The sequence below is a fragment of the Homo sapiens genome, chromosome 16 (assembly GCF_000001405.40).
Source record: "Homo sapiens chromosome 16, GRCh38.p14 Primary Assembly".
NCBI lineage: Eukaryota > Metazoa > Chordata > Mammalia > Primates > Hominidae > Homo > Homo sapiens.
This window is the reverse complement of record NC_000016.10, coordinates 50,766,976-50,781,914: the sequence shown is the minus strand read 5'-3', so window position 1 is coordinate 50,781,914 and position 14,939 is coordinate 50,766,976. Positions and strand designations below refer to the sequence as shown.

At 35.3% G+C, this 14,939-nt stretch overlaps 1 protein-coding gene across 26 annotated transcripts in view, besides 1 other annotated feature; it reads right to left on the bottom strand.

The window, feature by feature from the left end:
• The window catches only part of CYLD (CYLD lysine 63 deubiquitinase), a 59,850-nt gene that overhangs the window by 20,021 nt on the left and 24,890 nt on the right, over positions 1-14,939 (bottom strand). For 16 of the 26 annotated variants that reach the window (XR_007064858.1, XM_047433656.1, NM_001378745.1 and 13 more), the window contains 4 exons: positions 5,638-5,736; positions 3,974-4,090; positions 1,871-2,250; positions 504-669 (listed from right to left, as the gene is read on the bottom strand). Coding sequence is in view for 24 of the 26 variants with exons in the window: in XM_047433656.1 (XP_047289612.1) it covers positions 504-669; positions 1,871-2,250; positions 3,974-4,090; positions 5,638-5,736 (762 nt within the window). In the remaining 2 variants the exon portion in view is untranslated. Of the gene's footprint in view, positions 1-503; positions 670-1,870; positions 2,251-3,973; positions 4,091-5,637; positions 5,737-6,740; positions 6,750-14,939 lie in introns of all 26 variants that reach the window. The other 10 variants (XM_047433661.1, NM_001378753.1, NM_001378751.1 and 7 more) reach the window with 3 other exon arrangements.
• Positions 3,310-3,469: a silencer, noted in NCBI's record as "silent region_7492". NCBI's record gives its function as "represses an Ori minimal core promoter by ATAC-STARR-seq in GM12878 lymphoblastoid cells {active_cell/tissue: GM12878}" and the evidence as "EXISTENCE:reporter gene assay evidence [ECO:0000049][PMID:35858748]".

Below are 14,939 nucleotides of genomic sequence, written 5' to 3'. Positions count from 1 at the left end.
ATGCTTTTCCACTATTATGTAGAAGTGGAAAGGAACAGCACCAGGAAACTGCCACCAATTACACATGATGAGGAGAGCTGTCCTCCAGCAATCAGTTGAAATCTACTTCTTACACTAAAATGCTGATTTCTTTGTAAGATACACTCACTGCTGTAAACAAGACACTGTGAGGGAAGTCAGTAAAAAAAAAAAAGAAGGTTACATTTCAATTTCTACCACTAGTATTGCTGAAAACTAAATGTCTGTCATCAACAGGAAGAGAAAAACAAACCACACTATTATTCACTTTATAAGTCCCAAACGCACGTCCTAATACTTTTTTAAGATGTCCCCTCTTAAAACAACTTTCTTATACACCATGCAACATTTTTACTGATTTAAAGCTTAATGAGCGTTGGCAAGAAATATATTAAAACACTGTCACCATCACCTAATATAACATGATATGAGATTAGAATTAGAGTCATTCCAGGTTGTTAAGTAAACAAAAAGCATCCAAATACCTAAAGAGTTACAGCGCTCAATCTGATTGGAAACCGGCTGCAATGATGCAAACCTAGAGTCAGGCCTGCAGCTCTTCAGTTTCACAAACAGCGCCTTCTTCAGGGCACAGGTGAAATACCGAGTGCCTCTGAAGGTTCCATCCGTACAGCCTGCACACTCATCTTCCTGAAAAAGAAATGCTTCAATATGCATTATACCGTGCCTTACAGAGATAGTATACAAAGAACTAAGGTTTCTAAGACCTGTTTCTAGTATACCCTTTCTCACCACTCCCTCTTCGCACCTGTACTGAGAACCTCATCAAGAAAAAGGAGTTGAGTAATCAGTGCTTCAGCCCACAGCTACTGATTTAAGAAGTGACTTCCTTAATCCAGCATGAAGTCCTTCTTGTATTTCCTTTCAGAATATATGCTTCAACCTCCCCTGGTTAAACGGGCTTTCCCGCACCATTTCTACAAGCATTAAAACAGGCAGGGAAGGAGAAGGCTATTTATTTTAACCCTCATTCTTGCCTCCCCACCATGCCCCATAAGATAGTATTCACTAGCATGGAAACAAACAAGAAAAAAAAAAAAAGAAATATATTTAAATTGGCCAGGTGTGGTGGCTCATGCCCATAATCCTAGCACTTTAGGAGGCCAAGGCGGGCAGATCACTTGAGTCCAGGAGTTTGAGACCAGCCTGGGCAACATGGCAAAACCCTGTCTCTACTAAAAATACAAAAAATTACCAAGCATGATGGTACATGTCTGTAATTCCAGCTACTCAGGTGACTGAGGCAGGAGAATAGCTTGAGCCCAGGAGGTCGAGGCTGCAGTGAGCCCTGACCGTGCTACTGCACTCCAGTCTGGGTGACAGAGTGAGACCCCATCTCTAAATAAATCCTAAACATACTCAACTTCTCCTTTCCTGATTACAAAATATCAAATGATATGTTCTCCTGATCTCTAAAGGGAAAACCTTTCCCTCTAGCAAAGGTCTCAAAAGATCTCTAAAAATGGTGATTAACTTTAAAGCCAGTGATATAATTATTAGAACTGACCAGGGGAAGGGGCTGAAGAAGAAAGAGAAAAGCTGATGGCAAATTTGCTTGATTTACTAAATTCTGTTTAATATAAGGAGCCTAAATCGATTGGCCTAAAAATCAACTTTCATTCCTTGAACATAAATCAACTAACATTAGGACAAGTGGGTCGCAAGCTTCAGGGGCGGCAAAGGGAAGTCAGAAAACATGGTGAGAAAATTATTCTGCAGTGATAGCTTTTCTGACAAATATAACAGTTTGTCAAAAAGCATATAATAGGGCGAAATCTGCACAAAACCTCACAGAGAAAAAAATTGAAATTTTTGGGTCAAGTTAAATTACCAGTTCCAGTCCAGCGAGCACTTCATTCAGTCCTGGTGGCTGACCGATCCAACGGATTACCCCATAGAAAGGAGGGTTCTCCTTAACTTCAGCCAATGAGCCCACTTCTAGACCATGTGAGTTCCCAGGAGGCATGGCCAAGGGTGGACTCTCTTGGACGGGTGCAGTGTTTAGCTCTTCCATTACAGACTGGGCTGACAGAGAAAGTGGACTGTGGCCAATACTTCCATTGGTATTGGGCATCTTGGTGAGACTGAATGGTAAAGAGTGGAATCTGTTCTCGGTGGTCAGTGAGTTCACAGGAGGAGGCTGGAGTGGTGGTGAAGAACGGTCAAAGTCTGTAGATATCTCTGTAAGAGATTTTGCAGGGTCTTCTGCAACTAAAAAATTATTCCTAATTACAGAAATGTATTCAAGGATATTGACTCTGTCTTACATTTCTAAAAATTTATATACAGATCTAGTCCAACTGCCCACCTGACCTCCCTGCTATTAATAGTACTCTCATAGGCATCACAAAGTTATTATCTCCAACAGTGTTCTCGCTCCTCTCTCCACCTCCATATTTATGCACCTCAGTCAATGGCACCCAACTGTTCAAACCAAAAAAATCTATTATCAGCGGGTATCGTATACGTGATAGTCTTTGTCCAAAATACAATTAATTGAGAAGGCAGTACAAAAAGATACCGAAAACCTTAAGAAACGCTTCTATATATCTAATGGATCAAAAAAGAAATAATACGTTTTAACAATAAAGAAAAAAGAGAGAAAAAGTAACAAAGAAAGAAAGAATCCTTGTGAAACATGGCTAAATTAATACTTATAAGGGAATTTTATAGACTTCATTGCTTATTTCAGAAAAAAACAAAAGCTAAATATGAACTCAGCATACAACTTGGGAAGTTAAAAGAACAGAATAACCCTCAAAAAAGTAGAGAAGAATAAACTAAAGAACAGAAACAACAGAAGAGAGAAAACAAACATACAATAAGAAGTTCAAAGCCAGAATAAACACAAACACAGAATGTAATTTAAGAGAAACCAAACACATGATAAAGAGAGCCACAGCCAAAAGCTATTTTCTTAAAATGACTAATACAGCTGACAGGCAGGTATTGCAGATCAATGACAAAAGAATGAACTTCTTACTAAATGCTGTTGAGATAATTGGTTATCCATATTTTTAAAAAAAAATTAAACAGGAATCCTACTCATACTTTACATGAAAATCAGCTCCAGGTGCCTTAAAAACAAATGTGGCAGGCAAAACTCTAAAGGCTGGGAGACCACAGAGTCAGGCCTGTTTGCCTTTCCATTCTCATCTCATGAATGTCATGCCTCTGTCTGTGTTCTAGTCCCTGGCAAACACTAGCTTCCATTCTTCCAGGAGGACTTTCCCTATGCTATTTCTTCTCCCGAGGAAGTTCTAGCCCCTTTCACTTTGTCATCTGTCACTCCTCTGGTAAACCTAAGCATGTGTCACTGCCCCAAAGAAACACCCCTAAGACCCTGAGAAAAATCATCTTTGGTGTATTCTCACAGCATCATGCACCTTCACTGCACACACCACCAAGGCAACTCTACTGTGTCTGTGGTTGTTTGACTAATTTCTATCTCAACAACTTAACAACTGCAAACTCACAAAGGGCATGAACCATGTCTATTTTTTCTCACCATTTTCATCTTGATGCCTAAAAGAATGCCTGGCAATCATAAGCACTCAATAAATATTTGTTGAACAAATGAACAAAGAAGAGAATAAACTAGGTGAAAATGATGTCCCAGGACCAAGGGAAGATAAAATTTTTTAAAAGGGAGTGCTTTAAAGAGGTCAGGAAGGAACCAGACAGAAATCTTCCACCCTAAATAGATCAGCAGTTAAAGGAAAAGAACAAATTACTAATACATTTCTTAAACATTTTAATAATCTTAACAGCAGTACGGTTCAAACTGTGTACAATATTTTAGTTCAGCAATATTACAAAGAGCGGTCTACTTATTCTGTTTCCAAAAACTACAAATATTGATATAAAAAACCATTTTTCTCTGATGAGTTAGAAAGAAAGGATCATTATAAAGAACACTAAAATTACTGATTACCTTCATCAATGTACCATGTATTTTTTGATTTGGATTGTGGTTGTGAGTCAACAGAAGACCCATTTAAGGTATAAAATAATTCAGATCTGTTTCTATTTCCAGGGTCTGAGGTAGATCCTATAGGAACAAGAAAAGTTTCATTTAAAAATAAAGTCAATATAGCATCAAAGTTTTTTTTTAGTAAGAGAAATTATTATGAATATGATGTTAATAACTGTTTACATAACCAATAAATGTATATAAACACAATATGTTTTTTAACTGTCTTCAGCTTTTAAAAATTTGGTAACCATTTTGACAATATTAAAAATATTTTTCAGCCCAAAAGTCAAGATAGGAGGGAAACAGGAGTAAGTTAAAAGAAAAGCCCACTCATTTTTAAAAAAAATGAACTGCTTTAAGAAATTGTTCCATGTACCACAGCTTATTTCTAAATGTCAAAATCACCATTCTCCAGCTTCATTTCATAGACCCATTGGTTCACAAATTTAACCTATTATTTTAAAAGAAGGTAATCCTCAAATTCTATATATAAATCAATACACAAATTACATTTAAAAATAGTTAAGTTTTAAACATTTTGGAATTTTTGGTCATCAAATTCCTTGTGTCTTTGAAAAAATCAAGCACTATTATTTCTTACAGATTGGATTTATTATACGTGAGAGGGCGAGTGTAGCTATGCCACAGCCATTTCATGACATTACCCTGCCTCAGTATTAATTCAAGGACATACCACACACAGTGGAGGGCAGTGGGCTCTCCAGAACCCACAAAAAAGCTGATTTCCCTTTTCAAATTAAAGCAGGTAGCTGTACATTTTATAACTTTAAGATCTACTACAATACAATTAACATGCCATAGCTTAAGAAAATCTTTAGTCTGTTTCTATTTAAGTGAGAGTAGCAAGTTTGAGCTATCCTATATAGATCTATAGGTTAACATAAAAAAGACTGTTACCTATATATCCTGCAATTAATCCTAAGTCTCCCAGGCCCCAATGTCACATAAAATAATTCTTAAAGTACAATTTCCTTTTAAATGAGCCAAAATTGTAATAATTGAGGAAAAAATATTCTTTTCCTAACTCGCATCTGAGTTAACAAAAATTCTCAGAGCCTTTTTAATGAGCTCTTTGGCTTGTATAACTACTATTCTATAAATCTATGAAGTATGTGGAAGCTAACAAAAAAAAGAGCTGTAAGCTCCACACATATTGTGAGGAAGCTTCTGGGAAAGAGAAGAAATTTTTGCTTAGCAGTTTGGGATTTAATTTGTACCAAATCTAGTTAGCAAAATCCATTTAATTAACCTCTAGTATACTTTATCCTATATAACATTATCCATATAGGATTATTTTACACAGTTGCAATCCTAAACTATACATACAAATATTCCAAGTAAGGAGTTCCAAAAACCATTTGATTATAGACCAGCAAAACACACAAGACCCTATGGGGAACTCTTCCTGAGGTAAAAAAGGCTGGGAACACTTGGCTTAAGCAACAGTATTTATATACAAACTTTAGTTTCACTACTAAAAATGTTTGAAAGAAAAAAAGTCTACATACATGTTCAGAAGTAATAGCTTATAATCTTTTTTAATGCTATGGCAAGTTAGGCATTATGCAAATTACTAAAGGTTATATGCTATTAATCCATACCTGTAGCCTTTGGTTTATTATGACTGGATGAACCTTTGTCCCCAACACCTCTTGACATAAAGGCAAGTTTGGGAGGCCTCCTTTCCTGCGTCACACTCTCTGAAACAGTAAGCATGTTTTTTAAAGATAAAGGCAAATTCTTATAGAAGAGAAACAAGGAATGACAGTAACAAAATAAAAAAACCCTCTTTCCACAAAAAGGCAGAATTTTTAGTTTTACAAATGCCTTTTAAAGGCCATCAAAAGTATTGAAAAAGATAATACTATGGGGGAAAAAACCAATGCTGTATTTCAAAATGTAATTTCTATAAGAAAATACCCTCTCAAAATACAATTCAGCTAAATGCTTTAACCTCTTGAAAATTTAATCACTTGTAGTCAATTTTATTTGATCTCTTAAAACACTACAAAGAAAATCTTACTCGGTTTTTTACAGCATTTCCCAAATCAGCAGGCTTAGAACACCCCTGTGTATTATGAAGTGTTTCGAACTCAAATATTTCTTGAAGATGCTGAGATAAACAAAGATAAACAATTTCTTTACTGCACGGAACCAGAGCCTTTAATATGCTAATGTGCATTGTGAACTGCTCAGGGAGAAACAAAATAAACTTATTGATAAAAATTTTTGTGCCACTTTGCTTAGCATCTCAGATTAATATTATTTCATGAACACAGTTTGAAAAAAGCCTGGTTAGGAATATGTATCATGGTTAGGAAAGAAAGTTCTGGTTAAGAACATATATCTGTTTTTAAAAACATATATGTTAAGAATAACACAGATGTGTATACAAACACTTATACATATAAAAGAGGAAAACATAGAGAATTATGCATAGATTAAAAATACAGAAAGCCAGAGACACACAACAATAATATATTTGAAGAAAACACTCACAATTATTTCTGAAATATAGGTGTAATAAGTGTGGCAAACTTGTTTTGAATACAAAGACCACTCTAGACCTTAAAGCCCAGCAATGATCATAGAATACTCCTAAATACTGATCAAGGGAATGTAGAAGAGGCAGTGTGAAAAGTTCTTCCTTTGAAAAATTCAACAATACATCCGTGGAGTCCAACACGACACTTAGGAGTCATACCTGATAAAGCTGTGTGTCAGCAAAAACGATATCACCCACAGTGGATTTGAGGACAGAAAGAAAGAAATAGGAAAATTTTTACATTTTAAACACAAGGAAAAGACTTTTCTTAAAAAAAGAGGAAATTTACTAAATGAATTATATGTAAATACTTGGTAACTTTTTTCCATGGTTGAAAGAGGAGGGGGATGTGTTATTAAACTATATCTTAAACATCTCATAATATGATCCAATAGAATATGAAAATATTTTAATTCAAAAATTATACCAATTAACCACGATTTCGATCAAGTGATATAATAAGAGAAAAGCTATGTACTAATACTGTGGTCCCCACTTATCCACACTTTTACCTTCCACGGTATCAGTTACCCACAGTCAACCACTGTCCAAAAATATTAAATAAAAAATTGCAGAAACAGACAATTCGTAAGTTTTAAGTTGCATGCTGTTTTGAGTATTATAACGAAATCTTGCACCATCCTAATCCATAACCCCTGACGTAACCCATCCCCGTCCAGCATCTCCACACTGTGTCTACTCCCTGCCTTGTTAGTCACTTAGTAGCCACCTCAGTCATCAGATCAACTATTGCAGTATCACAGTGCTTACATTCAAGTCACCCTTATTTTACTTAATAATAGTCCTGAAGTACACGAGTAGTGATGTTGCCATATTGTTATTATTGTCTCTTCTCTGATTATTGTTTTCAATATCTTATTGTGCCTAATATATAAATTAAACTTTATCAGAGGCATGAATGTAGAGGAAAAACACAGTATACGTAGGGTTCAGTACTATCCATAGTTTCAGGTATCCACTGGGGGTCTTGGAAGTATCCCTTGATGAAAGAGGAGACCACTGTTCTTTTATGATGTTGTCATTCAGATATCTTTAAATAGCACCCATGACAGATACTTCAGAAGGAAAATCTTAGTCACTGAGAAGAGTTCCTAAATTATAGCATATAAATTTCCTAAAGAAAAACAACTCCCACTATTAACTGTAATTAACTGCATATAACATTTTTAAAGTATGTTCACATGTATACCACGATATAGATCCATTATATAGTTAGTAACCATTATAACAAATGAAGCAAGTGCTCTTCCCTTTGTTAGGCTTTGAAGGTAGCCTGGCAGGACTGGAGAGCCAACTGGATGGCCGGTGGTGACAGTTCTGCAGGTGACACTAGGGAGGAGCTCCAAAGATTAGGAATGTGAGCAGGGGGGCACTGGAGTTGGAAACTGTGGCTACCTTCTGTCAAAGGCTGTCTGAGAGGGGGTCAAATATCAGCTCTGAAGAAGAAGACATTCCATCAGAATTCTATACAGACAAAGGGGCACAAACCACCTCTAATTGCCCTCCAGCAATTACACACCAAATATTTCTTATTACTTTGTCACAACTGTGTTCATGGCCCAAAACTACTTGGGTCATGAAGCAAAGCTTTCAAAGTTAAATGAATTATAAGTGATTACCAACTCAGAAAAAGATAAATATGGGATGGAAAGCAAGGTAAGATAAATTCAGCTGGCAATTTTGTGTGATTAAAACAAACCTGATTAAAGATATTAAAAGATATAGAAGATAATTCCACCAAACAGCATGAGTAAAAATGTACAGAGCAGCCCTATTCATTCTAATCAAAAGCTGGAAACAAGCTATTCTACAGAAGAATAGAGAAACAAATTATGGTCTATTCATACAATGGAATACTACATAGCAATAAAAAAGGAACAAACTACTGATAAACAGGGCAACATGGACATTGTGTTCAGCAAAAGAAACCAAACCAAAAGTATCCATTATGTATACACAGCAAGATTGCATTTAAATGATAAAATTCACAGCTTATCCATCACTTGTTGATTTAACCAGAAAAAGAAAAATCCCTTGGAGAATCTTGAGCAGGAAATCATAACAATAAACTAGTGAACAAGTTATTGTTCAAATCAAATGAAATGTCTATGAATTTGAATGACCCAGTAAATTAAGAGAAATTGTTTAATTAATGTACCGCTTAACATCAGCAGCCACAAGAGCATAATTCAGACTCAAATGAGAATTTAACATCCACAGAAATCTTGTGAAGAAAATACAGTTTACTTGAGTAGAATGAGGTATTATTAAACCCGATGCCAGAAATATCCTACATAGCAACTATTCAAAAATCTCTAAAAGGTTGGGTTCCTGCTCAGAATAAATATTTTCCATAATAGTATATGAAAAATTCTTCAAGAAATGCTTGAAGGTGCCATATAGATAACACCAAAAGTTGCATGCTGATATCTGGTGCTTCAAATTATCCTTCTTCAGGGCTCCAGCTCTAACTGTCTCATAGGACCAGGAGTACTGCCTATACAGGCAACATTCATGGTGACTCCGATTGACAAGCAATCTCTATGAAAGCCATGTATTACTGTCTATCAAAATGTAAAATGCATAGCAATTCTACTCCTAGGAAGTTATCTTTTTATACTGGCACACATGCTAACTGATACACAGATACAAAGTTATTCACTGAAGCACTGTTTATAACAGCAAAAGATTGAAAACAACCTAAATGCTCATCAGTAGGAGGCTGGTTCAAAAATTATGGTACATGCATAAAATGAAATATAATTCAATGATTTAAACAAAAGACCAAGTATACAACTTATGTACTAATATGAAATAATCTCTAATATCTATTGTTAAGTTAAAAAGGAAGGTGCAACTTCTACTTCTGGGAAGATAAAGTAGATGTACTTCCTATTTCTTTTGCTAAGTACAACTAAAATCTCTAGACATAATATATAAAACAAATATAAGAAGACTTTGAAAGGTAGAGATGAGAAGGTAGACCAGCTAGGAACCTCAAGACCTAAGAAATAACATCACAGAGATTTCCCTCTGGGTTTTCTTCTTGACTACATTCTTATCCCATACTTAGAGATAAAAAAATCAGCACCCTGGAAACATCAATAGGCATAGACAAAAGAAGGCCCCAACCAAAGTTTTGCTCTCTCTAGCCAAAGGATATCAATTCTCCCCAAAGTTATATACAGGTTTAATGTAATTCCTATCAAAATCTCAAGAAGATTTTGTATAGATGTACACAAGATTACTCTAAAATGCATATGGAAAGGCAAAAGATCTAGAATAACTAAAATAATTTTGGAAAAGAATAAAGTAGGAGGAATTAGTTTAATAGATTGCAAGACTTACTAGTTAGCCGCAGTGATCGAGACTGTGGTATGGGCAGTAGGACAGACACACAGATCAATGGAACAGAATGGAGAACCAAGAAATAGACCCACATAAATATACCCAACTGAATTTTGACAAAGGTAGAAAAATAATTCAATGGAAGAAAGAGTCTTTTCAACAAATAGTGATGGAACAATTAGATATCCATAGATTTTTTAAAAAAAAATTCTACTTAAGTCTCACAACTTATACCAAATTAACTCAAAATAGATTATAGACTTAAATGTAAAAAGTAAATCTATGAAACTTTTTGGAAAACAGAGAACAAGGATGCAAAGAAATTAGAACCCTCATACATTGTGGCTGGAAAAGTAAATGGTGCAGCTCCTTCAGAAAACCATTTGGCAGTTCCACAAATGACTAAACACACAGTCACCACATGACCCAGCAATTCTACTCCTAGGGAGTACCCAACAGAACTGAAAACAGATGTCCACAGAATAACTTGTATATGAATGTTCACAGCAGCATTTTTAATAATAGTCAAAAACTAGAAACTGACGTCCATCGACTGAAAAATGGCTAAACAAAATACGGCAGATCCATTTATTGGAATATTATTCAACCATAAAGAAGGTTAGAGTACTGATTTTGCTATCATACGGATGAACCTTGAAAAGATTATGCTTAACTGAAGAAGCCAGACACAAAAGCCACATATCTTTTATTCTATTTATGTGAAATGTCCAGAATAGGCAAATCTGTAGAGATAGAAAGCAGATCAGTGGTTGTCAGGGTCTCAGGGTAAGAGACAATGGGAAGTAACTGCTTAATGGGTACTGGGTTCCCATGAAAATGTTCTGGAACTGGATAGTGGTGAGGGTTGCACAACATATTACATTTCAATTTTTAAAAACTTAGGAGAAAATCTTCCATATGTAGAGCTAAACAAAAGTTGTCGAACTTGACACAAAAGCTTGACCCACACAAGAAAAACTATAAATTGGACTTCATAAAAATAAAAATCTTGTACTCTGTGAAAGACCCTATTAAGAGGATGAAAAGACAAGCTACACATTGGGAAATAAAATGTGCAAACCATATATTGAACAAAGAATTAGTATCTAGAATACATAAAGACTTCTCAAAACTCAACAGTAAAAAAGCACAGGATCCAATGAGAACCTGGGCAAAAGAGATGAGGACACCTTTCACTCAAGAATATATACGAAGGCTGGGTGCAGGGGCTCATGCCTGTAATCCCAGCACTTTGGGAAGCCGAGGCAGGTGGATCACTTGAGGTCAGGAGTTCGAGACCAGCCTGGCCAACATGGTGAAACCCTCTCTCTACTAAGAACACAAAAATTAGCTGGGCTCGGGGGCGCACACCTGTAATCCCAGCTACTTGGGAGGCTGAGGCAGGAGAATCACTTGAACCCAGGAGGTGGAGGTTACAGTGAGCCGAGATCACGCCACTATACTCCAGCCTGGGTGAACAGAGCAAGACTCCATCTCAAAAAAAAAAAAAAGAAAGAAAGAAAAAGAATATATACAGATGACAGTGAGTACACGGAACGATGTTCAACATCAGCAGCCATCAGGTAAATTCAAATCAAAATCACAGTGAAATACAACTACAAATCTCTCTGAATGGCTAAAATTAAAAATAGGGACAACATCAAATGCTGGAAAGGATACAGAGAAACCAGATTACCCATATATTGCCAGTGGTAAAGTAAGAGTACAGTCACTCTGGAAAACAGTTTAGCGGTTTCTTAAGAAACTAAATTTGCAAATATCACCGAATACGCACTTGGACAATTATGTCAAGAAATAAAGATTTATGTGCACTCAGGAAACTACACACAAATATTTATAAAAGCATTATTCATAATAGCCAAAAACTGGAAACAAACCAGATGTCCTTCAACAGCTAAACAGTTAAACAAACTGATACATCCATAATATGGAATATTACTCAGGAATAAACAGGAACAATCCATGGATATATATAAAATAATGTAGATAAATCTCCAGAGAATTATGCTCAGTGAAAAAAGAGCCAGTCTCAAAAGGTTACATACTGTACAACTCCATTTATGTAACATTCTTGAAATGACTGAATTACAGAAATCGACAGCAGATGAGTGGTTGTCAGAGGTTAAGGATGGGGCAGGAGGAAGAGGGAATTTGTGCGGCAGTAAAAGGGCAAGATAAGAGATCTTTGTGGGATGGGAATGTTCTGCTTCTTGATTGTATCAGGGTCAACATTCTGGTTGTGATGTTGCACACGTCTTGTTTTACAACATGTTAATGTTACCGCTGGGAAAAATTGGCTAAAGGGCACACAGGGTCCCTCTCTCTGCATGTGAATCTATAATAATCTGAAATGCTGTAAAGCATATATCTGCAAAAGGGTTTGTATTCAAAATTTATAAATAACTCTCAAAACCCAATCATAAAGAAACAATTAATAATCGGCCAAAGACTTTCACAGATACTAAACCAAAGAAGATATACAGATGACAAATATGCACATGGAAAGATGTTTGATATCACTGGTCACCAATGAAGCGCAGAGTAAAACCACAATTAGATGTTACTAAAATTTAAAAAACTGATCATACCAAGTGTTGGCAAAGATATGGAAGAACTGTATCTCTCATATACTGCTTCTGGGAATGTAAAATAATGCAACCACTTTGGAAACACAGCTTGGAAGGTTTGGGGGTTTTATTTAAGTTAACAGTCACCTATGATATTACCAGCCATTCCACATCTAGGTAAGTACCCAAGTGAAATGAAGGCATATGTCCATACAAAGATTCGTACACAAATTTTCATAGCAGCATTATTCATAATAGCCAAAAACTGAAAAAAACTCAAGTGTCCATCAACAAGTGAATGGATATAGAAACTAATATAACCATATCAACAATAAAAAGGACAACATGGATGAATAAAAAATAATTATGTCGAGTGAAATAAGCCAGACAAAAAAGAATGCATTCTGAGTTATTCCACTTTTGTAAAATCCTTAAAAATGTGAACAAGTGTATACTGATGTAAAGAAGACCAGTGGTTGTCTGAATGTAGGGGGTTGAGAGGACAGGAAGAGGCAGAGGGAGGGATCCCAAGGGACATATTTTGGGGTGATGGATATGTTCACTATCTTGATCGTAGAGATCGTCAAAAAAACAGCATTATACTCCCAACCCCCACAACTAGAACAGAAGACACAGGTTGAACTAGAAAAACCGAAATGTATAATTTTGGGGTGGTGCTAATTGATATGCTTCATCATAACAACTTCAAGAACATGAACATAATGTCAAATTAGATATGTTAGCAGTGTTTTTAACCATTTAGAACAGAAATATAAGAGAGAAACAATTTTATAACAGGTTTAAGATTCCTGCATCTTTCAATCAAAGGTATCCTTCAGAAGCCAACTATTACAAGCAATTGACTAGAAAGAATTCTTTCCTAAGCTTCCCAGCCATTCAACTGCTCTGAAAAGAATCTTTTTTCTTTTTTAAATGCTGTAAATATTAATTTTGTTTCACGGATGAAGGTAATTGGGCAAGAAAAAGAAACTAAGGAACTAAAGGAGACACTTTGACTTTTTTTTCCCCTCAAGAAAAGAGTCCTAATGATGACATGAAAGGCAGATGAAGACTCATTTAAGTAAACTAAATTAATTTTCATTTAAACAACTTTAGTTTTTAAAGTCTATTTGCAAGCTTTATTTTGTTGACAAATAAGTGTAATTTATGTATTATGTTATAAATGCTGGTATCATTCTTAATTATCTCCTATTGAGGGTTTATGAAAATCAAGCTTTAAAAGAAAAAAAAATATCATTCTTTTTCTTTCTCTTCACTGCTCTGAGCCAGCAATAATGACAATGATAACTACTGATTTAGAAGATCAAAGTGTGCCTGACAAGTGACGCCCAAGATATTCATGTAACTAATTTTAATTATCTCAATCCTCCACCAATATTTTAATAAAACAAAACCGTAAATGTTTTTAAGATAAATACTACTAATGAAGAATTCCTTGTCAGGTTATATTCCAGGAAAAATAGAAAGGGTGGTTTTTTTCTTTGCTTTGCTTTTTAAGTGCTACTGTAGAACCCAAGATAATTTACATTTCAAACCAAATTGAGATGTGGAAAAAATAGACAGAAGGAAATACAGCTCTAGAGTGTGTGTGTGGGAGAAAGCACTTCAAGTATTTATTCTACAGCCAACTGAGAAAAACAATCAATTATACATAAGCCAACTTCATAGTTCAGGTATCTCAATCTTAAATTATAATACTAAACTAATGATTTCCCTAGTCTCCTAACTTATTCAGTATAATGAATTGCATTCAGTTGTAAAATGTAAAATTCAAAGAAATGCAATTAAGGTAGGTAAAGAGAACGGTTACTTTCAATCTAAAATGCTTTTTTTTTTAATTATTTTTTGAGCTTTCAAAAGTACTCTATGGAAATTAAAAAAAAAAAAAATTGAAACCCACAAACCCACACAGGCACACCCTGGAGATATTGTAGGTTCTGTTCCAGACCACCACAATAAAGCAAATATCACAATAAAGCAAGTCACACAAGTGTTTTTGTTTCCCAGTGCATATGAAAGCTATGTTTACACTATACTGTAGTCCATTACGTGTGCAATACCATTATGTTATTGAAAATAATGTATATACCTTAATTTTAAAAATATTTCATTGCTAAAAAATGTTAATGATTATCTGAGCCTTCAAGGAGTCATAGTCTTTTTGCTGGTGGAGGCTCTTGCCTCAGTGTGGATGGGTGCTGACTGATCACGGTGATGGTTGCTGAAAGTTGGAGTGACCGTGGCAATTTCCTAAAATAAGACAACAATGAAGTTGGCTCTTTCTTTCATAAAAGATTTCTCTGTAGCATGTGATACTGCTTGATAGCATTTTACTCACAATAGAAGTTCTTTCAAAACTGGAGTTAATCCTCTCCCAAGC